This window comes from Homo sapiens, chromosome 3 (genome assembly GCF_000001405.40).
Source record: "Homo sapiens chromosome 3, GRCh38.p14 Primary Assembly".
In the NCBI taxonomy this organism is placed as follows: domain Eukaryota; kingdom Metazoa; phylum Chordata; class Mammalia; order Primates; family Hominidae; genus Homo; species Homo sapiens.
In genome coordinates this window covers 40,158,625-40,183,742 of record NC_000003.12, presented here as the reverse complement: position 1 = coordinate 40,183,742, position 25,118 = coordinate 40,158,625, and the positions used below count along the sequence as shown (strand labels likewise).

The 25,118-nt window shown below is 45.9% G+C and overlaps 1 protein-coding gene and 1 long non-coding RNA gene across 8 annotated transcripts in view, besides 2 other annotated features; one reads left to right on the top strand and one right to left on the bottom strand.

The window, feature by feature from the left end:
• EIF1B-AS1 (EIF1B antisense RNA 1) overlaps positions 1-10,598 on the top strand; it is a 136,554-nt gene extending 125,956 nt beyond the window's left edge. Inside the window, exon 3 of the long non-coding RNA NR_033965.1 lies at positions 9,021-10,598. This is a non-coding gene — a long non-coding RNA (EIF1B antisense RNA 1). The remainder of the gene's footprint in view (positions 1-9,020) is intronic.
• Positions 1-25,118, bottom strand: part of MYRIP (myosin VIIA and Rab interacting protein) — a 451,408-nt gene that overhangs the window by 76,579 nt on the left and 349,711 nt on the right. For all 7 annotated transcript variants that reach the window (NR_104316.2, NM_001284423.2, NM_015460.4 and 4 more), the window contains 5 exons: positions 20,933-21,013; positions 16,800-16,897; positions 16,504-16,584; positions 13,650-13,793; positions 1,370-1,523 (listed from right to left, as the gene is read on the bottom strand). Coding sequence is in view for 6 of the 7 variants with exons in the window: in NM_001284423.2 (NP_001271352.1) it covers positions 1,370-1,523; positions 13,650-13,793; positions 16,504-16,584; positions 16,800-16,897; positions 20,933-21,013 (558 nt within the window). In the remaining variant the exon portion in view is untranslated. The remainder of the gene's footprint in view (positions 1-1,369; positions 1,524-13,649; positions 13,794-16,503; positions 16,585-16,799; positions 16,898-20,932; positions 21,014-25,118) is intronic.
• Positions 12,996-13,045: an enhancer, noted in NCBI's record as "active region_19710". NCBI's record gives its function as "activates an Ori minimal core promoter by ATAC-STARR-seq in GM12878 lymphoblastoid cells {active_cell/tissue: GM12878}" and the evidence as "EXISTENCE:reporter gene assay evidence [ECO:0000049][PMID:35858748]".
• Positions 13,086-13,135: an enhancer, noted in NCBI's record as "active region_19709". NCBI's record gives its function as "activates an Ori minimal core promoter by ATAC-STARR-seq in GM12878 lymphoblastoid cells {active_cell/tissue: GM12878}" and the evidence as "EXISTENCE:reporter gene assay evidence [ECO:0000049][PMID:35858748]".

The window sequence follows — 25,118 nt, the reverse complement described above, 5'->3', positions numbered from 1 at the left end:
GGATGAGAATACTGTTAATGCTTTCTTCATGTGAAGACAAATATGCCTGGCCTCCTGACACAGTGTGTGTATGCAGGAAATAGGAAGAGAGGAGTAGACCTGTGCAGGGGTTGGGGGAAGTTTTAGTCTGACATTCATGTAGACCAGGAGGCCCCCTGAGCACAGGGGCTTCATGGCCCTCGGCCGTCACCCACAGTGATGGGTCCAAGCAACTTACAGTCTTCTGATGTGAGACTTTAGGAAAATGACTCAGTTCATTTGAGCCCCTTCATTTTGAGGGATTACGTGACTCAACAGCTTTATAAAGGACCACATTCCATACATGTTGAAGAGTCTCTAAAGAGGCAAGCTGACTTGCCCCATGTAGAGGCAGGACATTCTAGGGGGAGGAATCAGGAAGAGCAGAGGTGCAAGCAAACATCAATGCCTTCCTCAGGATGTCCCTCAGGCAGGGATAGACAACTGCCCACCAAAGACTCTTTCATGGCCCAGCCGTGTTACTGGTATGCATCTGCCCAGCCAGGATGCCATTTCTCCGGGCCTGCATTGAGGTGGGGCCACGTGACCAGTTCCTGTCCACAGGTTGGGAGTGAAAGTGGCGTGAGCTCTCCGTGCTGAGATAGTTAAGAAGCAGGTACCTGCCTTTTCCATGCTGCCTTCCTCCATCTGCTGTCTGAATATGGATAAGCCCATAAAAGACTCAGAGGCCCTGGAGGATGATAGAGCCACAAGGTGGGAACCTTGTACTTTGGCCTCTGAAGGCTTCCCACAGGCCAGGGGTACTTGTACTGCACTGTTGTGTGATGAAAAAGAAAATGATTGTATTAAGCCGCTTAGATATTCAGTTTACTTGTTATAGTGGCATATGCTACCCTAACTAATTTATCCAGTTTCAGAAAGGACATCCTTAAAACCAGCCCTAAGGACCCAAATTTGCTGGGACCCAAATCCCTTTGAAAGTTGAAATGCCATGAGAGGTTGGTTTAATGCTCCTGGCCCACATAAGACACATTCTCCTAGTCCACATAGAACAGGCAGCTGAAGTGGGGTGTGCAGTGGAGTGATGTGAACACACTTGTCCAGGAGCCCCCAATCTGTCCCACAGGTCTCAGCACAGAGCATAGAATATGATGACACCCTAAGAGCCTTCATTCTGCCAGAGCAGCTAGGAAAACTGCCTGGGTGGAGAACATGACCACATTATATATTGTGTGTTGTGCTGGAGGCCTCATGACTTGGTAGCCCAGAGGGACACACACCAGTTCAGACTTATGGGAAGAAGAGCAGAGTGGCCATGCAATAGCCAAGATGTCTCCAAACCACACTTTTGAAACCCACAGACCAACTAGATACTGCTTAAAACAGTTACTTGTTTCATCCAGCCTGTCCACACTCTTCCAGCTGGGCAGAGCAGACTCTGCTCTCGGGTGTTGGCCTTGGTCCCTTGGCTGCCTCGATGGAGCCTCCACTGGAGGGGTCTTCAGGGCTTCTTCTCCAGTGATTGAGAAGGCAGACTGGGACCTCTGTGGAAAGGAAAGAGGGGAAGGGGTGAGCTCATAAGGTACAGTGCCTGGGAGGTGTGCCTTCACCTTTTGGGGGCAGACATTGTCCAGCATGGAGAAAACATGTTTAATGGTAATGGCTCTTTTCACGTGAGCCTTAAAAGCTGCAAATCAGTATATAAGGCCAGGTAAATGTTTATTCCCTTGCAAGTCAGCCAGGCCTAGTAGAAAGAATGAGATGTAGTGTAATTTTACGGGGCCAGCTCTCATACGGCTCTTTCTTATCCACCACTCTTGCGGCCAATATTTCTCAGGGCCAACTGTGTGTGATGAGTTGCTCTCGGGCATGCAAAGTGGAAAGCATGTTCTCCTCAAAGACCTCCAAACCTGAAGAGATCCCAGAGCAAGGTATGATCCATCCACAGCACAGGACTATTACAACATATTCCCATGTAGCTCCTAAATTAAAGGAAGGAAAACAAACTCTAACCTAAGGATAAGTGGCAGAAATGGAAATTCAAGTGACTGACAGGAACAAACTTGAATTGCATTATAGATATATAATGCATTATATATATATATGTTGTATTGTGAAGCTCAAATGTTGTATAGAGAATTTTATCAAATAGAAAGAGACTAAAGTTTTTCTTTGCCATTTAATGAAGGAATTATATTTTACTGGTTGTTTATTTTGCTGTTTTTACATTGGTAATCTTAAGAAGGAAAGGGTATATTCACAAAGCCACTGAAAGCATCTATGATTACAGTATTAAACAAAGTACTGATCCAAAACTCAGACCCCCTTTGCAGTGGGCTTCCACCTGCTGGTTGATGTCAGCACCAGCAGCCCCTACTCCCTTCTGTCCCAGTGCAAAGTGTGCTCATTTCCTCACCTTTCTCTCTCCCACAGGTACCTAGCCTAGGAGACAAAGGCAAGCTCTTTCAGAGAAGAGCTGTGGGCAGGGCCATGGGGTGCTTTGGAGCTGGACCCAGGAGTCAGCCGTGCCTGGGCTCCGTGACCACCTCGGCTACACTACCTTGGCCAAGTGACTTAATTCCTTGAGAGTCGTGGAAACTTAATCTTGCCCTGCACTCACAGTAAACTGTATGATAATGGTAGCTTAAAAAAAAAAGGTATGAGAGAATAACAAAGAAAGAAAGACAGCAAAAATGAGCACAGGATACTTGGGTGACAACACTGAGCTTTAAGATTAGAGGTTGGAAGAGGAAGATGCACTCAATGGCCTTGCCTCCTAAGGACTCTGGACCAGTCTGAGGAAAGACACAGAGATAGATGAGGATCAAAACCCAGCATCCCCATCATCACAGGCCAGGCTAGGGCCCAGGACCCCTCACATACAGGGCGTCTGGTTCACTCTGTTGGAGAGTGGTAATGCAGGCCAGTTCAGATTCAGAGTCGTAGGAAACCTCTACTTTCCCCACGAAACCTTGGGGTGATCTAGGAGAAAGGTGGGCTTACAGAACAAATATGGAACCCCCTAAGCTGTGAACCAAGTGTTACAACCTGCTCCTATCCCTTCAAATATAGAAGAGAGAGCATGATGGGCCTCCAGACCTGCCTTTCGATGCAATGGTCATAGGTTAACGCAACCCAGAGGTGATGAGCTCTCCTTGCCTTATCAGTTCCTCAAGACACTGTGCGTCGATAAGGTTCAGTTCAAGCAGGCCATGGCCTGTGGGAAATCTACCAATTGCCCCCTTCCCCAACTGGGCTGGTGGTCATGGGCTTCTTCTGTACTTATGTTTTACTGCACTCTTGCAAACATCTCTCTTCTGGCCTGGGGCCCCCACTAGACTGTGGAGCAACTGAGGGTAATGTTCTTTTAGCAGTGACATCTGTAGCCCCTGGCACAGTAACTAGTACAGAATTGGAAATCAATGAATGTTTGCTATCGAGTGAATGGTTACAAAATGAGTTTTTCAAAGTGCCTAATTTTTTTTTTCCAATTTCTTACACAAAATTATGGAGTAAGAGAAAGAAATAAAAAGGATCCCACTGTCATCTACACTTACATCCTGGAGAGCAAGGTTTTACTTGGAGGAGAGCCAAGCTAACACACATGTAAAGTGGCTTTTGGCTGAGTGTCATCTCCTTCATTCTGAGGGCACAGCAAGCACTGACCCTGTCTCGAGTGTCCAGAGCAGTTTGGATGATGCAGCTTGACAACACCCGAGGTTTTCACAGGGCTAGGTATTCAGAGCCATTCTGCGATTCTGCTAAATATCTGACAGAAAATGAGCAGCTTTCAGAGAGGATAGAGATTGAGGATGGTGGTCAACTGGCAAGTGAAGTTATTAAAAATGAAGGAAAACATCATTCTATGGCAAACCTCCATGTATCAAGAGGGACACGCCCTTGGCCCTGGTGTACCTTGGGATTGGCTAGGTTGCTCCTCCTGTGTGATCACACAGCTCTGTCCACACTGTTATCGTTGTGCACTGACTTGCTGTGTCTTCCACACACAATGAACTCCATGAGGGCAGGGATGGCCTTTTGTTTGTGATCCTTGGTTGCATGTTTGTGACTGAATTTATAGGCTGTAAGACACAGTGCTGGCCCTTATGAAGCTGACAGCCTAGTTGCCAGATGCAGTATTATTGCAGCCTCACAGAAGCCATTTACTGTATCTGGCCTTTAAAAAAAATCTACAAGCTTCTCACTGTAAATCACTGAATACAAGTTTAAAAAGGGGAAACAATACTTAATATTTCATTTTTGCAGTGGCTCAGACTTGTGTGTATATGTGGTGGCTGGGGTCCTTTTTTATGGGACGGAAATTCTCCCCCATTCTCTGCAAAAGCCAAGACTAACAAATGAAAAGTCCCTCTCTGGTCCCAACAGCAGAGAGTAGGGAATGCCAGGCTATAAAAATAGTCTATTTCAGGCAAATCAGTGTTCCACACTAGAAAAAAGCTACACCCTGACAACCACAAAAGGCCCAGCAGAGCTGTCTCCAACAGGTCCTAGGACACTGGTGGCCTACAGTCTCCAGCCAGGGTGGAAAAAGACAGTTCTGAGACCCAGGTGTGGTTCTGCCACAAATTCATTACAAGCAACACACGCCCAGCAGAGGGCACCACAACAATGCTTTTACTCACCAGCTAGTTCAGCCAGAGAGGAGTAATTTATTTGTTTATTATACTGGCTTATAACGCTGGCTGAGCCCTCTGTGCCCACTTTTCTTTCCTACGCACAGACTCTGCTTGTCTTACTTATTCTAGGGTACACAGAAGACGCAGGGCTGGTGACTGGAAGAGCTGGTCTGAGTTAGAGTGTTTGAACATCTATGCAAGGGGGCTGCAGGGGGAGTCCATGGATCCAGGAATGTTAGCACATCAGCAATCCCTTGCATTGATGAACTTGAGAATTTGGGCCTTCAGATAGGCCCTTCCTCTTTACTCCTTGGGCATTAACTTATGGGTGATACCTTAGGTAGTGGGTAAATGCCAGCTCCTCCTCTTGCTATGTGGGATCTTGGAAAAACTTAAACTGTTCTAAGCCTCAGTTTCCTCATGTTAAGGGATCAGTATCATGCATAGCGCAGAGAAAGCACTCAATAAATATTAGCCAAATAAGAGCATTTATTAAGTATTACCACTGAGCCGGTGTAACTGTTCTCTCACTCAACTTGATTGAGTGCACATGAGTAAACAGAGTCAGGATTGAATAACTTGCCCAAAGCATATGGATGGCCAAGGGTAAGGCAAGGGTTGAGCTCGGGTCTGACTGATTCCAATTCGATGCTCCTCCATGCTCTCTTGGTGTGTGCCTGACAGCCTTTGCTGCAAGCCTGGCAACAATGCACTCCTGGTTAATGTGCCCCAGCCCAGCAGGACTTGCCACGTGAACCAACTGGTCCCGAAGCTTTGGGCAAAACACCCAGTGTGATCATCAGTTACTTTTGTTACAGCATTCTTTGCAGTAGCTGCATCTCCTGTGTGGGCAGCAGCAATGTGTTCTACTTATATCCCTTGGAACCATAGATTGTTGCTATGATTGCTATGATTATCATCATCATCAACAGGACAGGCTCCCTGTGGCACCAACCGCAGCTTTAAAACAGTCTTTGCTCTCAAAGAGCCCACAGTAAAAAACAGGGAAAGAATGTTTTTAGTATCAAAGATTTGAGGGCAAATCAAGAAGAGTGGTCATATGTATACGTAACTGAGACACAGCTTTGCTTTGTGTTTTTAGGGTCAGATGTAAGTATTAAATTCAATCCTATAATTATAGCAATGACAAAAAGTACTTTAATTCTATACTATGGCCATTCAAAAGAGAGAAGGAACGTGAGGAAGGAAACAACAGAGACAAAGGGAAAAGGCTGAGAAAATAGGAAGGGACAAAAGACAGGAGAACAGAGAAAGCCAGACAGAGATTCACCTTAGTCACTGGGCACACAGTAAGTGTCTGGTCCCTGGTGTCATCATCATTATTACCAATAAGATCACGATATTATTAGAGAGGCCTTTTTATATGCATGCACCCAAAGAGGCATGAAATGAGTTATAACACCCACACTGGTGCCTTCTAGGATATTGCGTCTTAAGGCTTTGAAAGCCAGGTCGCACTGACCCCCATACTGGCAGAGAGCGCACAATGAGGGAGGAAATTAAAAATGGAGCATTCGCACTGAACCTTCTTCCAAGAGAATAGATGAGAAATCCCATCTGGATGGGGATGAATTAAGTTTGGGTTTTGCAGTCAAGCCTAAGCAGTGGTGCTGATGGGGATTGGGGATTCTGCATGGTTATTTCTTAAGCCAAAGGTGTCTGGGTCATTGGAGAACTGAAAAAGGGGAGGCCCTATCAGGAGGCCACAGGTTTAGGGCCCTCCACAGCCTGTAGGTCAGGATTCTGTCTCAGGATATAATGATACCATCCTTAAGCCTGGCATCCTGTCAGCATTACCCAGGAGCTTCTGGTCATATGGAAGCCCTGGCTCCACTCCAGACCCCTTGCATCAAGACCCTTAAAGCAGGGCTTGGGCAGGTGATGCAGATGAGTGTCCAGGGTGAGAACAGCTTGAGGAAAGGTGGGAGAGCTATGTTCTCTGAAGTACCCAAGAACTGAAACTCGGCCCATTGGTTCGTGTCCAGGTTCTGGCCAGCGTCCATGTGTATTTCTGACATTTTTTTTTTTTTTTAGACAGGGTCTTGCTCTGTTGCCCAGGCTAGAGTGCAGTGGTGCAATCATAGCTCACTGCAGCCTTGACCTCCTGGGCTCAAAGGATCCTCCCACTTCATTTTCCCCAGGCATGCAACACCATGCCCAGCTAATTTTCTTTTCTTTTCTTTTTTTTTTTTTTTTTGAGATGGAGTTTGCTCTTGTTGCCCAGGCTGCAGTGCAATGGTGTGATCTCGGCTCATTGCAACCTCTGCCTCCTGGGTTCAAGCAATTCTCCTGCCTCGGCCTCCCTAGTAGCTGGGATTACAGGTGCCCACCACCACACCCAGCTAATTTTTTGTATTTTTAGTAGAGACAGGGTTTCACTATGTTGGTCAGGCTGGTCTTGAACTCCCGATCTCAGGTGATCCACCCACCTTGGCCTCCCAAAGTGCTGCGATTACAGGCGTGAGCACCTGGGCACCTGGGTGCCCAGCCCACCCAACTAATTTTTATTTTTATTTTTTGTAGAGATGGGGTCTCACTGTATTGCCTAGGCTGGTCTCGAATTTCTAGCCTCAAATGATCCTCCCACCTCAGCCTCCCAAAGTGCTAGGATTACAGGCATGAGCCACCATACCTGGCCTTGTATTTCTGCTTTTATGCTGTTTGTTCATGTCTTCTTCTTTATCTAAATCCCTAGACCAGTGCTGTGCAAATACAACTTGATGGATGATGGAAATGTTCTACATCTGCACCATCCAACATAGTCACCACTAGGCACTGGTGCTACTGAGCACTTGAAATGTGGCCAGTGTGACCAAAGAACTAGATTTTTAGTTTTATTTAATTTAAATTAAAATAGTCACTTGTAGCTTACGGCCACCATACTGAACAGTGCAGCCTCAGAACCTCAGCTGAAAGGGACCTTGGAGATCACTGAGCTACTGATCTCATTTTATAGAGGAAGAAGCTTGACCAACAGTTTTGGAGCAGGAAAGAGATACTCAAATTCTGGCCCCACTTATTACTACCTTCATCTATGAAACTGGTCTAATAATATGTCCTTATGTTGTGGCCAGGAGTAAAAGAAATCACATGTGATGTACAAACATAATGCATGGTCCTCAAGCAATGGTTGTTCCTCACATTCTTTGCCTCAGCAGCAGCTGCACATCCCCAGGGGGCATTACTAGCATTGTATTCCATATGAATGGGGGTTCCCAGAGGTGTGCCATACAGTGGCTTTGGCCAGGGTCAGTCCCTTTTGGGTCCTAACTCTTGGACCTGAAATTAACTATTGGACTTAAGTCCTAGACCAGTGGTCTGAAATTTGGGTTCACTCTCCTGGCACAGGCTTTTTCATCACAGGGCATTAGGGCCAGGTAAAGGAGTGGCTTAGCCTACATGAATGTGCCCAGCCATGCTGTATACAGCATTTGAGAAAGCTGACCCTGTCTACCATATGTGTCACCCCTGGGGGGCACCAGGCTGGCCCTGCTATGGTGCTGGTGAGAGGGTTCCTGCCCAAGGGAAGTCAGGCCAGTGCCATCGGGGGGCAAGACATGGGGAACCACACCCAATGGGAGTCTGAGAATGGGAAAGGAGGGCAGCAGGATGTAGACAAGGACAAAAGGAGGGAGGGAGGAAGAGAAGTGGGAATAAGTTCAGGGGAGGGTCCAGGTCATTTCCTGTCATTGCTGTTGGGGTATCTGTGGCTCATCTTCCTGAGTTGGCCAGCGTGGGCTCTGTGGGTCACCTCAGCTTGTCCTGTTACATGTAGATGGCTGAAGCCCAATGGGGACAGATGAGTATCTGTTTCACCACTTCAAGCATTGGTGGTGTTCAGGCTAGGACTTAGTATAGGCCTTTCTAAACAATCCAACGAATCAAGACTCAATGCATTCTTATCACCACATTTGGGACAGTGGAAGCTCTCCATCCCAATAACATTTATCTTTATTTTTTTATTTTTATTTTATTATTTTTGAGACAGAGACTTGCTCTGTCACCCAGGCTGGAATGCAGTGGCGCAATCTCCACCTCCCAGGTTCATGCCATTCTCCTGCCTCAGCCTCCAGTAGCTGGGACTACAGGCACCCACCACCATGCCCGGCTAATTTTTTGTGTTTTTAATAGAGATGGGGTTTCACCATGTTAGCCAGGATGGTCTCGATCTCCTGACCACGTGATCCATTTGCCTTGACCTCCCAAAGCACTGGGATTACAGGCGTGAGCCACCACACCCGGCCTCCAATAACATTTTTTAAAAGCTCTAATCACAGTGCTTGTCTTTTAACCAAGTCAGGAGCTAAAAATGGTTATCTATGAGGGTATGAATCCCAGTGTTTTTGCTAGGACCTTAATTAGTACACTCTTCCTCCTCCACAGGTATCCCGGAAGCCTGAAGGGAAAGGTTCAAGTCCAGGCTTCCATTAAAACCCCACTAATAGACTTGTTCTGCCATCAATCAGCCACAGACCTGTACTGCAAGATGCCTACTACACACCCAGTGCTGAGCTGTGGAAAATCCAGAACACACGTGACCACAGACAATCATGAAGGCGCTGATAATAGCAGCTTCTCAAAGGGAAAATTGTGTCCGGGACCCGCTGGGTACATAACAGATTTCTCTTTATTCTCAGATTCAGGCTTCTTTGCTTGGGGCAGCTCCCCAGGAGTATAAGTATGAATGGGGGGGAAGATAGAGCATATACTTCTTCCTTCCTGATATTGTTGACAAAAGTATGCTGTTTACATATTGAAAATCATGGGATGGTGTGAACTCACAGGGAGAGGACAGGAGGGAGCCTCCTTGATCAAATGTCTAAGATAAAAATGAAGGTTGCAGTAACAAAGAGCCAGCTGATAACCTTGTTCCTCCTGTAAGGTGCCTGCACCCCTGCCAGGCATATGATCTGGGTGGTTACACTGTTAAGCCAGGAGAGGTGCTCACCCAAGGGTATGTGTCAGTATCCTTGATGGTGTTTCCCAAACTACAGCCACACGGTTCTCTCCCAACTCCTTCCCTAAAAGGTAGATTCAAGCCGGGGGAAGGTGGACATATCTTGTGAAGTGTTGAATATGGAAATTCAAAACATATGTTACATTCAGGGAGGGGCTTCCATTAGGCCCTATTTTTATATAAAAATCTAGAAATAAATAATATTCTTCTATTTGCTTCAAAAAAACAAAGAAATGCTTAAGTTCTCTTTACATTGATGTCAAAGCATAGCCATGAGTTATGCTGTGCAGGAGGCAGGTGTTTGGCAAGACAGATTTTTTTCTGACAAAACAAATAAAATCCTGAGAGGTATTTGTTTTAGTAAACCAAAGGGAAATCCTATGAGACTCTGGCTTGTGCCTCTAAATGTCTTCCTCAGTGAAAACAGCCCATGGTCATGCCTGTGTCCTGGGTGGACTGAGTTCGTTCCAGTGAGCTGATGAGCCAGGCGGGAGATTCCCCTTGGGAAGGGTCATGGTTGTTTATTTGAAGCTGCTTTCAGCCAGTACTTGGCCGAGGAGTGTGGATGAATGAAACGCCTCTGTTGTCCTGCTGCTGAAACGGGAACACTATTGCCTGTCATCACTGTTGTGCCCACTGTTTTGGCTTATGATACAAGAGCCCACTGTCCTACATCTCTAATGATACACAGAGCATCTCTGGTCTCTAGGAGGTGGGAGGGACACTACTTCCAGCTTTAACCATATGCATGACAAGGAGATCCAGTGACCATCTGGTGGGGAAGCAGGCATTCCATCTCCGGAGCTTCCCAAGGAAACAGGAGACAATGGAGTGCAGGAAATGCTCAGAACCAGGAAACCTGCAACCACTTAGTTCCAGTGGCTTGGGGTAGCTAGGATTCCGTTTATTCCTTTGTAAAATGGGGATAATGCAGGGTGCTCTCATGTGGAGCTAAGGAAACAATATGTGAAAGCCCGTTGCATATAAAATTTATATAAAGAAAAGGTATTGGTCCTGTGTTATTACTATAGATACCTGACCATCACTCCATTATTAACATTACTGTTTAAGCTTTTTGTGATGACCCCCTTCCCATACCTCTCTGTTCACGGGATTTACATGAGAATTTTAGTTACTGTGCAGAACTGCAGTCACCTGATGCCAACAGGAAAAATCAGAAAAGGTCTGTTTCTGGGGGGTGAGGTCTCTTTAGTGCAAGGGAAAATGAGACAGGGTCAGAGAAAGAGCTTTCAGCTTCTGATAAAGGAAGAATGAGACAGCCCCAAGATGCAGTGAGTGGATGGAAATGTTCTAGTGGGTGAGTTGATATCTTAGAAGAGAAGCAAGCTGATGCCATCTGGCTGTGTGGGGGAAGGAAGGGGAGAGGGCACTGGTGAGGACCCATAGTGGGGTTGGGCTGGTGGCAGCAGGTGGTCTGGGAATTGGAGCAGGCAGATAAGTGATATGCCAACAGCTCTGCTCTCTGGGCCTGGAGCCTTGCTGACCAAAACACAGTGAAGTACAGCTCATAACTCACAGGGGATACCTTGAAGATACAGTCACCTTTATTTTGAAACGTGGAAATAAGGTAATAATAGAGCAATAGCTATGTCCACGTCTCATTTAGTCACCTGCCACTGTTGCCACTGTGCCCCTTACCCCATTTTCTAGCCACACAACCACTATTCTATTTCTTGAACATGCCAAGTTCCTTCCCGCTTAGAGCCTCCATGCATGCCATTCCCCCTGTAGCAGTGCCCTTCCTCTTACTGCTCCCAGACCTCTCATCTTTCAAGTCTTGGTTTCAGGTCATCTCCTAAAAATGGTTTTCCCTGACAGCTCCCTAACCGAGCGTCTACCTGTCCCCAGCACTCCCTCCCCTCTATCCCCTTGATGCCAATTACTGAAATATATACCCCTGTGTTTTTGTTGTTGTTATTTACTTGTTTATGGCATGTTTCACCATTAGATGGTGGAGTCTGCTGTATCTGCGGAGACCACTGTCTCTGTAGCACTGATATGGTCTGGCTGTGTCCCCACCCCAACCTTGTCTTGAATTGTGGCTTCCATAATTCCCACGTTGTGGGAGAGACCTGGTGGAAGGTAATTGAATCATGGGGGCGGGTCTTTCCCATATGAGATCTGATGGTTTTATAAGGGGGAGTTCCCCTGCACACGCTCTCTTGCCTGCCACTACTTAAGATGTGACTTTGCTCCTCCTTCACTTTCCACCATGATTGTGTGGCCTCCCCAGCCATGTGGAACCGTGAGTCAAACCTCTTTACTTTATAAATTACCCTCTATTGGGTATGTCTTTATTAGCAGCATGAGAACAAACCAATACAAGCACCTAGCACAGTGCCTTGCACATAGTGGAAGCTCAATAAAGACTGTGTTGGCTGCACAAGGAATCCTTGGAGCCATCCTTTAGGGCAGGTCTTATTATTTCCACTTTACAGACACGAAACTAAACAGTTGTTCAAGGTCTCATATCTAGTCAAGGGCAAGTCCAGAATCCTACCCCAGGAGTGGCAGAGACAGAGCCCAAGCTCTCTGTTCTTGCCTCTGACTCATTGACTCATGGTTGAGTCTGGGGTGCTGTGGGAATTTCTACTTTCTGGATCTCCCCAAGACTTGACACTTTGAGTTTGCAGAAAATACTTCAGAAAGACCCCAAATGCAAGGTGATGTCATGCCTGCAGCCTGAGCCCAGGAACTGCAGCTCTGATTTTGTGACCAGTCTGAGTGACAGGCTATTTGAAGGGCTTTTGCTCCCCTGCTCCATCCAGTAGGATCCTTTTCCACTCTCTGCTGGAAAGGCCCCTTGTCTGAATTCCAAATCCATTTCTATTCTCAATCTTTCAACTCAGCACCCAATTATGAACTGTCTCCTATTACCTCTTTTTTACCAGCCTTACCCGTGTCCCCTCCTGCCTTGCTAACCAGATTATAAAGCTCTGGACGGTGGGCATGGCGTCTTCTACTTGTTTGGTTCTCCTTGGTGCTGAGCATATGCATGACAGCAGCAGTAAAACAAGCTGACAGCACGTTGACAAGGAAAGGTTCTGCTGATAAATCAATGAAGTTTCATCTCTGATAAAGCCATAAAGATACTCCTTGTAACCGTTGTGCATCTGGCAGTTGGCGAGGACAAAGGAGTTTATGTAGGTGACCTATGCTGATCCCTTGTGGACTGCAAGTCGACCATGTGCTACTTTGCATGCCCTCGTTTTAATCTGCTCATGCAGGGATGAATGCCACTAGACCCCTAGTGGGGATGGGGTAAGCCCCTGGCCTTGCCTTTCCCATGCCTGACTTTCCAGTTTTGAAGTGCACCTGTGTGCTGCCCTGTCCCAGACTGTGAGCACCTATATCTAGCAGAACCAGAGCCCTACTGGCCAGTCCCTCAGTTTCTTGCAGAACCTGCCCCACCCAGCTCCTTCCCCAGCACTTTGCATATCCTCAACTGGGCTTACTCAAACCAGTAACAAAGGATGTGACAGACTCAGCAACTCTACTGCAGACAGGAACAGCACCAAACCCTTGGTTGTGGAAAGACCACTGAGCTCTGTGACTCAAGGTGACAGACAGAAAGGTTGGCTCCACACTGTGACTTCCTGTGTCCAGATGTGACCATTTTGGTGGTTGAAACAGCAGTGGTAATTTTCTCGCTGTCACTTTTCAGTTTCAGTAAAGCAAGCAATCTAGGTTATAAGAGTACACATGGTCCTTATAAAGCTATTTTCCCCCACTGGACTCAGTATAATTCTTTTCAGAATGAAAAAAAAATGCAGCCTATCAGCATTTGTATTTTTCCTAAATTGGTCTCTGTGTAAAATCTATCTCTATAATTATCAATAGACCATTTGTGTTTTTCTCTCCTCTCTTACCCTTCCTGGCCCCCGACTCACACTCACTTTCTCTTTCAATTTCGCTCCCCATCCTTCTGAAATTTTTACCCTGGCCAGTGGCCACCTGATTCAACTACAGAGGGTTAAATGTGTGCCCCAGACCTGCACGTGTGGAGGGTAGACCAGCACTGCTTGGGGACTCACCCAGAGGGCAGCGGGAGCACGGTAGCCTCCAGGGGATGCTGAGGTCCCCTCATCTGCCACCTTTGTGCTGCAACTCTGGGGATGTGGCCATCCTGGCTCTTCTTCCACTTGCTGCTCACTTTTGCTCTTCTGTTTTCGTATAATCTGGGGAGGGGAGGACAAAAAAGGGGCAAGTTATTGGAGAGGCCTCCTGATGCTATGTGGAGTAACTGGGACCATCTTTGGAATTTTTTTCAGCCACTTATAAGCTTAATTTCAACAGAACACCAGGCTGTTTCAGATCTGCGCTATGAGAAACCAGCACAATTATAGCCTTGAGCATTCTAAGCATTTTACAGTTTACAAATAATCCTTTTATGATGTTAACAGCTTCTCTATTTATTAAGTGCCTAGCATGTGTCAGACCTCATGTTAGGTATTGTGTAGGCTTTACCTCACTTAATTCTGGAAGGTACATATTCTAATTCTTTCCATTTTATAGATGAGGAAACAGGCTCAGAGAGACTAAGTTATTGGATAAGGCTACACAGCTCATAAATGGTGGAGCTGGATCTCAAACCCAGAGCCTCTGGTTGTAAGTCCTGAATTTAGGAAGCATCTGGAAGCCCTATCAAGGGTGTAGACACCAAGAGTCACCAGAATGGCTCCAAATCCAGCTCGTTTGCACAGTCATTTGGATTTAGTGAGTCCATCCGTACCAAGGTCTCTGGGCTTTCAACTTCCTATAGGCAGGAAGCAGTCAAGAAATGTGCTAAGCCACCAAGATGGGCATATTCTCCAATGTTCCTTTAGGCCAGACAGGAGGATGAAAAGGAAGGCTGAGAGCCCAGAGAACAATCAACTGAGGTGCCATCTCCCATGGCAGGGTGGGGACCCAGCCATGTTGCCCAGCAGGATTTCAGAATTGCTGAGGACCAGTGACTGCCGGTGCCTCCCATTCTTCCCCTCTGCAGGTGGGTAGGGCCAGTGCTGCCTCCCTGTCCCTCTTCCAACATTGCATGTTGGGTATATGGGGGGAGATCATTTGTTTGCTTAGTTTACAGATCTCCAGCTAAAAAGGAGCTAAAATTGGATCAAATGTACTTTGAACTGTGATTGGATGAGACATTTGGGGGTCTTTGGGTGTGGTGAGTCTACTTGGCATACGGAAGGGATGTGAATTATCGTGACCAAAAGGGAAGACTGAAGTTTTTCAACACTTCCTGCATACGGCACTTTCTAGTGTGACTCTGCAGACCCTCCCAGTATAGGGAGAATCTACGTCCCAGCCCTTGGCTTTGGGCTCGATGTGTGACTTGCTCTGGCCAATGAGATGAGAGGGGGGAGTCAGTAACCATAAGCTAGAGCTAAGCCTTGGCCTTAACAAGCACTGTGTGCTTCCTCTTGCTGGCTTGTGCTCCTGTCATGGCCACAGGCAGCTGATGTGCCCTCAGTTGGGCCCCAGAGTGAACATGCTGCACCTGACTTTGTCCCAACCCATAGCTTGAAGTGCAGCTACTGCAGATGTGTGAGCAATAAATAAATTGTGGTATAACAAAACATATATACAGATAGTCCTTGATTTAAGATTTTTGGACTTTACGATGGTGGGAAAGCGGTGTGTGTTCAGTGCAGCATTCCATAAATTATATGAGCTAATAAACACTGTTATAAAATAGGCTTTGAGTTCGATGATTCTGCCCAGTTATAGGCTAATGCAAGTTCTGAGTACATTTACGATAGGCTAGGCTAAGCTATGATATATTAAGAGTAGGTTAGGTGTATTGAATGCATTTTGACTTATGATACTTTCAACTTAGGATGCGGTTACTATCTGGACTTAACCCCATCCACTGTAAGCTCAGGAGCATCTGTATTTGGTCTTTGTCCCCAGTTCCTGGCACAGTTTCAAAAACCTTTGCAATTATTTGAGTGATAGGAGTGTCTGTTACACTAACAAGGTGATTCAAGGTGAGGTCCTTAGATAACTTCAGGATGGGGGCAGGTTGCCAGAAAAACCAACTACAGTACATGATTAGAGGGCTGGGAGCAGAAAGACTAGAGAGTGCATTCAATCAGGTAATCAATCATTTAATCAATCCTGCCTACATACTGAAACCTGGCTAAAAACTCTGATACAACAAGGCACAGAAACCTTCCTTGTTGGTGCATACATCGATGTGTTGGGGGAGTGATGTTCACAGAGAGAGCATGGAAGCTCTGTACACCCTGTCCCCAGACCCTGCTGCTCTGTGTGTCTCTTCATCTGGCCGTTCACCTGTACCCTTTATATTAAACCGGTAATGGTAAGTAAAGCACTTTCCTGAGTTCTGTGAGTTCTAGCAAATAATTGAATTGAGGGTCCACGGTCATGGAAACTCCCAAATTTGCAGCAGGCTAGGGAGAAGTGTGGTGGCTTTGGGATACCTGAAACTTGTGGCTGGTGTCTGAAGTAGGGGCAGTCTTGTGGGACTGGGCCCTTAACTTGTGGGGTCTGCACTAACTCCAGGAAGAAGTTAGTATCAGAATGGAATTTCACTTCTCAGTTGGTGTTGGAGAATTGGCTGTGGAAGACAGAAAGATCCTTGTCAAAAGCCACAGAGTTTTGGGGTGTTTGGTTTCTCAGAAGTAATTGACAGGTACACCATGCAAGGGACAGCGTAGGGCATGGAGCTAGCAGCAGTGACTGCAAAGCAAGCAAGCAGTGCGATGCATTCCCTCTGCATGGGTCCCCAGGGCACAAAAGTCTAAAGTGAGAAGGCACAGAAGATACAGTGCTAGAGACACTCCCCATGTTTCACCTGCTACTTGCCAGAGTCCCTGCACCAGGCCCAGCCAGGAAACTGCAGCCATCCCACTGCCAGGACCCACCTACCTTCTGCAGGATTGTCGTGGCCAGTTCCTCAGTTAGCTCCTCCTTGTGGTCCCGCAGGTAACTGGCCTCATTTTGCTTGTCCTGAGGAGGGAAGAGAATGGCTGTGTGCTGTGGGTGGATTTGGGGTGACTTGGCAGTCACTTTGCCAGGAGAGTCCTGACCACAAAAGCAGAGGGAGGGCCTTGCTCTAGTCAGAGCTGCTGGGACATTGATTTCCTGACAACCTGCACTTTCTCCTGGCAGCAAGGACCCCAACCCACACCTCCCCCCACAGAGAGGAGCAGGAGGGGCCCTACCAGGCTGTCCCCATATGCCTCTGCTTTGGAAATTGCTTCCTCAATGGCCTCTTCAGCCACCCGTAGGGCCACAGCCAAGGTGTCCATCACACTATGTCCTAGACAGGAAACAGAACAAAGAGCATTTCTAAAAGGGAATGATGAGTAAAACGATTGTTCAAGCTCTTCTGCTTAAATTCTTCAGGGGCTCTGGGATAAGTTCTAAGCTGTTTACCATGGCACACAAAGCCCTCGCCCTTCCCACCTGCCTCACACTGCCTCCCATGCATCATTCACATCCCATGCCCCAGTTGCAACAAATTGTTTGATTCTTTCATGCCTGCAATCTCATTCCTCCTCCCTCCTAGACTCTTGCTCCATAACTGAGCTGGTTCCCACGGACCCCAAGGCTTGGCCCAAAAATTCCTCCTCTAACAAATCTTCTCGGATCCCTTCAGCCCCGCCCTTGGCTGGAGGTCTGTCCCAGGTTCTGGGCTTGCTTTCATCATCCAAAAAGGCTCCATACCCCCGGCCCCTTCCCACAGGTCATTTTCACAGAGCAAGAATTGATCATATTCATTGTTGTATCCTAACATGAAGCACTGGTCTAAGCACACAGAATGGCTTAAAGGTGACTGAACAAAAGGGCTTCATATAAGGAAATAATGGTTCTTTATCTACTTTCTCAGATAAAGATTATGCTTTATTTTGTTCATATAATGTATATTGTGATGATGGGGAAAATGTTATTAAATGTACTAAGGACAATGGGCTGTGCATATGACTTAATGCAAATATAAACTCTATGGTATAATTTTTTGGACTATCAACCAGTATTAACAACACTGGCCAACCTCAGAGCTCAGCCACATGGCAGGCACCAAGCCCAGAGTTTCACATGATCACAGTTAATTCTGACAAAAATCCAGTGGTAAGTAGGTGCCATATAGGTACTATTTTACAGATGGTAAATTTGAAGCACAGAGTGGTTAAATAACTCACCCAAGGTACACAGCAAGACAATAAGAAGGCAAAGATTTGAATCCAGCTGGATTCCAATTCCTCTGAATTTGAATTTGGATTCCATTCCAAATTCCTTCTAATCCAAAGCCCTTGATTTTAACCACAAAACTGAGATGAATACAAGCTAACGTGATTAAAAAATATAGTGCTACCATACTTTTAGTGAACTTTTTTTTTTTTTTTTTAAGATATGGCAACAAATGAGAGAAAATAAAGGACTTCCCCAGGTGACAAAGTTCTTTTTGGAGCTAAGTGCTGGGAAAAGTTCTGTTTCCCTTGAGATCCTAGATTTTAGCTTCTTACTTGTGAGAATTTCTATCATCCTTCTCTTAGTTTTCCCCAGAAGTCCAAGTCACATCATGTGCAGGAATGTAGGTCAGCAAGGGCTAGGTACCTGGGTCTCCTTGTCCCCAATTTCAACCTCCTGTTTCCATTTATAATCTCCTACTCATATATTATTTAACACATGCAAATCTCCTGTAAGCTGTTGAAAATTCTTTGTGGAATGAGACAGGGTGTGAATATATCAATTCATTAATTACTCAATTAAAAAATAATTCAAGCTTCTTAGGCTCTTAAGGACAAAAATGTAGACAGAAAGTATCATTTGGCAAACATAATAAAGCCTCTAAACAATCCACTTAAGGTCAAAGTGATCTAGCTAGCTGATGAGTATGTCACAAGCCAGCTATGACAGTCATGATAGAGCCACGTAGGGGCAACCCAGCCCAGGGCTCTGCACACCACCAGGTTGCACAGTCTTTCCAATGTTTTGATAACTAGAGCCTATGCGATATAAGTTGTCATCACACTAAGAGCTCCCTGGTGGTAGACACTGTATCTCCCCTCTCTCTTCTTCAAGATAGCCACCGATGTATTTTTCACAGAAAAGATCTACAAATTTTTGTTGAATCAAACAAATGTTTACTGAGTACCGTTTGTGTGCTAGGCTCTGTGATGGCCCCAGTGATAACCTGATGGACAAACTGAGTCCATGCTCTCATGTACCTTCCAAGATATTGGGTGATTAGACACATAAGTAACCCCTAAGAGATATGCATAACTATCTGTGTGATAGAGATATCTGTGTGGATCCCTGGAAGGTAGGCACCTGGAGCTGTAACTAGGAAGGCTTTGGATGCTATGATTATAATTCTTGGATGAAAGTGATGTGGAACACTGGGTAAAAAGTGAAGGTTCAGGTCAGTGTTTCAGAGAGAAAGGTTGGCAAGGGTAGGAGGGAAGATTAAGAAGGCAAGGTGGCCAAAGTTCAGAAGACCAGCTAGATGGTGGGATGGTCAATGTGTCAACGTGGCTAGGCTATAGTACCCAGTTATTTAATCAAACACTAGTCCAGGTGTTGCCATGAAGGTATTCTTTAGATGTGGTTAACATCTACAGTCAGTTGACTTCATGTAAGGGTTGCCCTCCACAATGTGGGTGTGTCTCATTCAATCCACTGAAAGGCCTTAAGAGCAAAAACTGAAGTTTCCTAGAGGAGAAATTCAGCCTGAAGGCTGAAGCACCAACTCTTGCCTGAGTTTTCAACCTGCTGGCCTACCCTGTATGTTGGGGCTTGCCAGTCCCCTGAAAGGAATATATATATGTGCATGTACATACATATATACTTAGTGTATTGGAGAACACTGCTGATACAGATGGCCACTGAAATTAACACTAATCCGGAGAGTTTTGAGCAGAGAGGTATGCAGGATATGGGCTGTGGAATGGAAAGAAAAGTGTAAGATTGAAAACAGAGCTGACAGGTACTTGGGTAGCTGTGGGGAAATGAGGAGAGGGACTGAAGGAAACATCTCTCACTGGTGGACCTCAGTGGCTAAAGAGCTTGACTAGGACAAGTTGGGGTTAAGAACCCTATAAGATCTTCAGGTGCTAATGGCCAAGCATTAGAAATCTGAGTGTAGAACTCTGGGATGAGATCAAGGCTGGGCATTTCCGGCTCAGCAGCAAATGGAGGTGCACTTGAGGTCATACAATGGTGTGTGGTAACCTATGGAGAAGCTGCAGGTAGTAAGGATAATACAGGACACAATTTTCATGAGAAGTCATCTGTATTAGGGTTCTTCAGAGAAACAGAACCAATAGGATATATATAGATATAAAATAGGAGATCTATTATGGGAACTGGCTCATGTGATTAAGGAGGCCGAGAAGTTCCATGATATACTGTGTGCAAGCTGGAGACCCATAAGAGCAGTGGTATAATTCAGTCCAAATGTGAAGGGCTGTGGAATAGGGGAGCTGCTGGTTTAAGTCCTGAGTCTGAAGGCCCAAGAATCAGAAGCTCTGATGTCTGAGGGCAGGTGAAGATGGATGTCCCAGCTCCAGAAGAGGGAGAGTGAATTCACCCTTCCTCTGCCTTTTTGTTCTATCTGGGCTTTCAATGGATTGGATGACACCTACTCATACTGATGAGGGCGGATCTTCTTTTCTCAGTCTATGATTCAAATGCTGTTCTCTTCCAGAAATGCCTTCACAGACAAACCCAGAAATAAGGTTTTACCAGCTATCTGGGCATCCCTTAGCCCAAGTCAAGTTGACACATAAAATTAACTATCACAGCCCCCAAAGAGAGAATAGAGAGTACAGATAAGCTGTGGAGGTCACAGGAGGAAGGCAATTGAGGGGGCACTGATTATCAATGTCCAGTACTTTAGACAAAGAATTGAAATGATAAAATTTTATTTGAAATTAGAAGTTTGTTTTGCTTTTAACCACTGCTCTAAGGGGACAATTATATTGGTATAAAAAAGTAAAAGTTAATCAGTAAATGACACATTCTTTAAAGGAATATTTTAATATGAGATGCACAAGTGAGTGGATTGATTGATATGTTCCAACTCCAGAAGAATATTTACTAGTTGACTGTAAAGTATCCATGGTTGGGTAACGAATGCTGTTCTCTTGGCCACATTTTGGATATACTCACCTATTTTGATGATGGATTCATACAATTGGCAATAATAAGTGACCCAGGGAGACTCACACACAGTAGTAGATAGTTGCATCTGGGGTAACAATGCATCTGGGGGACCCTGGCAGTACCTGTACCTGTAGGTGTTTCTATTACTCCAACTTCCCAGTAGCTGTAAACTCTTAAGCAACTTTACCTTCTGACTGCCTATAAAATGTTGAATCACTGCCAGAAATGCTTCCTTCATTCTCCAGGTTTGACTCAAAAAGGCTTCCTCCTGGCAGGGTAGGGGTGGGAGAAGAGAATGAATATGATTATCAAAGGTCTTCAGTGAACCCTGATGCACTGTGTCACTGAACTGGCAGACCACTATTACACACTTGGGTTGTTAGCCTTGCAAATAGGTTTAGGGACTCATGAGGTCCCACAATAATGCTAACAGTTTTGACCCATTGCTTTTTTCTTCTCACACTGATTCCTGGTGCAGCATTGCTGCCAACCCCAACCTTCTTCCCAAACCTTCTTTGCAGGCAATATGGAGTCAAAGACAGAACAAAAGACTAAAGTCTGAGAGATGTAAGGTCAATTCCTGGACCTGCAAATTACTAGTTGTGTGGCTTGGCATGGCTGCATCTGGAATTTATTCATTCATCCAGCAAATAGTCTATGAGCACCAGTAGGTGTCTGGCTTTGGCCTAGGTATTAGGGGTACACTGATGAGCAAAGCTAAACCTGCCCCCACCCCACCCTGACAAGCATGAGACTCTCATGTGGGAAATTCATTAATCAAATACTTATATAAATATATATATATAAAATTATAGATAGGTTAAGTGCTTTGATGGGATGGTTCACAGCACAGTGAAAGTGTTCAGCAGGGAAGGCGGACCTAAGCAGTGAAGAATCAGCCAAGAGGTGTAGGGAGTGGGAGAACATACAAGGCACAGGAAGCAGCTTGCACAGAGACCAGTCCTGGGAGAAAAGGTGTATCTGAAGGCCTAAATGAGAGGCAGCGTGGCAGGGCTGCAGAGAGGAAAAGCAGCTCTGGTGAGGTGACCTGGGGACACAGGCCATGCAGTTCATGGTGACCACATCAGTGTTTGGATCTTTATCCCAACAGCCATGTGAAGCCCTTAAAGGTTTCACAGAGATGACCTGGTAAGATCTGTGCCTCTAAAAGTGCACTGTGGCTACTGCGTAGAGAATAGCTTGGAAGGGGGAGGTGAGTGTAGAGTGAGGAAGGGCAGGCAATGGAAGCCCTGAATGCAGCTCACTTTTTAAAGTTGACCTGCGGTGAGAAAGAGGATGGCAGGACAATGAGTGGAGGAAAATGCAGTCGAGGAGGGGTTTAGAAAACAGGAGAGACTTGGGTGTGTTTATAAATCCCAGTAAAGACAGAGATTGAATAAGCAAGAAGTGACCTTGAGACTTTTCTGGAAGGTGAGAGGGATAAGATGCAAGACCAAGGGGAGGGGGAGGCAACAGAGAAGGGAGACAGTGCTCCCTCTGCAGCTGCACACCAGGGCAAGTCTCTGCCTGGCATGCCCTGTAGGCCATAGGAAGGAAGATTTGAGGTTGCCTGCTGAGAGGATGGGGAGGGTCGTGGGAAACATAAGGACAGGGGAGATGTGAAAAAGTCTTTGGAAGACTGACCTCACCAGAGGACAAGCCCTGGTTTTGCATGACTTTAAATCTTCTAGTACAACACCTCTCTTTCTGTTTCCTTTTAAATTTGGAGGTGGGAGCATTGGTGTCATTTAGTATGATGTGATGTTTTTTCAAGGGCAGAAAGGGACTGAATTGTTCTGGAAAGCATGGGCTAAGCAGCTAGATGACATGAAGCCACTATTTTTCATGAGTTGGCAGAAACTCTAATTTCATGTGGCTCAGCATTTTTAAAAGACCACATTTGTCCAACAAATCCCAGATGAAGCAACAGACCTTTTCAAGAATCATGTCAAAATTAGATATAGAGGGGAGGGAGGAGCCAAGATGGTCGAATAGGAACAGCTCCGGTCTACAGCTCCCAGCGTGAGCGACGCAGAAGACGGGTGATTTCTACATTTCCATCTGAGGTACCAGGTTCATCTCACTAGGGAGTGCCAGACAGTGGGCACAGGTCAGTGGGTGTGCGCACCGTGTGCGAACCGAAGCAGGGCAAGGCATTGCCTCACTCAGGAAGCGCAAGGGGCCAGGGAGTTCCCTTTCCTAGTCAAAGAAAGGGGTGGCACCTGGAAAGACGGCACCTGGAAAATCGGGTCACTCCCACCCGAATACTGCGCTTTTCCGACAGGCTTAAAAAATGGCGCACTAGGAGATTATATCCCGCACCTGGCTCGGAGGGTCCTACGCCCACGGAGTCTCGCTGATTGCTAGCACAGCAGTCTGAGATCAAACTGCAAGGTGGCAGCGAGGCTGGGGGAGGGGCGCCCGCCATTGCCCAGGCTTACTTAGGTAAACAAAGCAGCCAGGAAACTCGAACTGGGTGGAGCCCACCACAGCTCAAGGAGGCCTGCCTGCCTCTGTAGGCTCCACCTCTGGGGGCAGGGCACAGACAAACAAAAAGACAGCAGTAACCTCTGCAGACTTAAATGTCCCTGTCTGACAGCTTTGAAGACAGCAGTGGTTCTCCCAGCACGCAGCTGGAGATCTGAGAACAGGCAGACTGCCTCCTCAAGTGGGTCCCTGACCCCTGATCCCCGAGCAGCCTAACTGGGAGGCACCCCCCAGTAGGGGCAGACTGACACCTCACACAGCTGGGTACTCCAACAGACCTGCAGCTGAGGGTCCTGTCTGTTAGAAGGAAAACTAACAAACAGAAAGGATATCCACACCAAAAACCCATCTCTACATCACCATCATCAAAGACCAAAAGTAGATAAAACCACAAAGATGGGGAAAAACAGAGCAGAAAAACTGGAAACTCTAAAAAGCAGAGCGCCTCTCCTCCTCCAAAGGAACACAGTTCCTCACCAGCAACGGAACAAAGCTGGACGGAGAATGACTTTGACGACCTGAGAGAAGAAGGCTTCAGATGATCAAATTACTCCGAACTACAGGAGGACATTCAAACCAAAGGCAAAGAAGTTGAAAACTTTGAAAAAAATTTAGAAGAATGTATAACTAGAATAACTAACACAGAGAAGTGCTTAAAGGAGCTGGTGGAGCTGAAAACCAAGGCTCGAGAACTACGTGAAGAATGCAGAAGCCTCAGGAGCCGATGCGATCAACTGGAAGAAAGGGTATCAGTGATGGAAGATGAAATGAATGAAATGAAGTGAGAAGGGAAGTTTAGAGAAAAAAGAATGAAAAGAAATGAGCAAAGCCTCCAAGAAATATGGGACTATGTGAAAAGACCAAATCTACGTCTGATTGGTGTACCTGAAAGTGACGGGGAGAATGGAACCAAGTTGGAAAACACTCTGCAGGATATTATCCAGGAGAACTTCCCCAATCTAGCAAGGCAGGCCAACATTCAGATTCAGGAAATACAGAGAATGCCACAAAGATACTCCTCGAGAAGAGCAACTCCAAGACACATAATTGTCAGATTCACCAAACTTGAAATGAAGGAAAAAATGTTAAGGGCAGCCAGAGAGAAAGGTCCAGTTACCCTCAAAGGGAAGCCCATCAGACTAACAGCGGATCTCTTTGCAGAAACTCTACAAGCCAGAAGAGAGTGGGGGCCAATATTCAACATTCTTAAAGAAAAGAATTTTCAACCCAGAATTTCATATCCAGCCAAACTAAGCTTCATAAGTGAAGGAGAAATAAAATACTTTACAGACAAGCAAATGCTGAGAGATTTTGTCACCACCAGGCCTGCCCTAAAAGAGCTCCTGAAGGAAGCACTAAACATGGAAAGGAACAACCGATACCAGCCATTGCAAAATCATGCCAAAATGTAAAGACCATCGAGACTAGGAAGAAACTGCATCAACTAACGAGCAAAATAACCAGCTAACATCATAATGACAGGATCAAATTCACATATAACAATATTAACTTTAAATGTAAACGGACTAAATGCTCCAATTAAAAGACACAGACTGGCAAATTGGATAGAGTCAAGACCCATCAGTGTGCTGTATTCAGGAAACCCATCTCACGTGCAGAGACACACATAGGCTCAAAATAAAAGGATGGAGGAAGATCTACCAAGCAAATGGAAAACAAAATAAGGCAGGGGTTGCAATGCTAGTCTCTGATAAAACATACTTTAAACCAACAAAGATCAAAAGAGACAAAGAAGGCCATTACATAATGGTAAAGGGATCAATTCAACAAGAAGAGCTAAGTATCCTAAATATCTATGCACCCAATACAGGAGCACCCAGATTCATAAAGCAAGTCCTGAGTGACCTACAAAGAGACTTAGACTC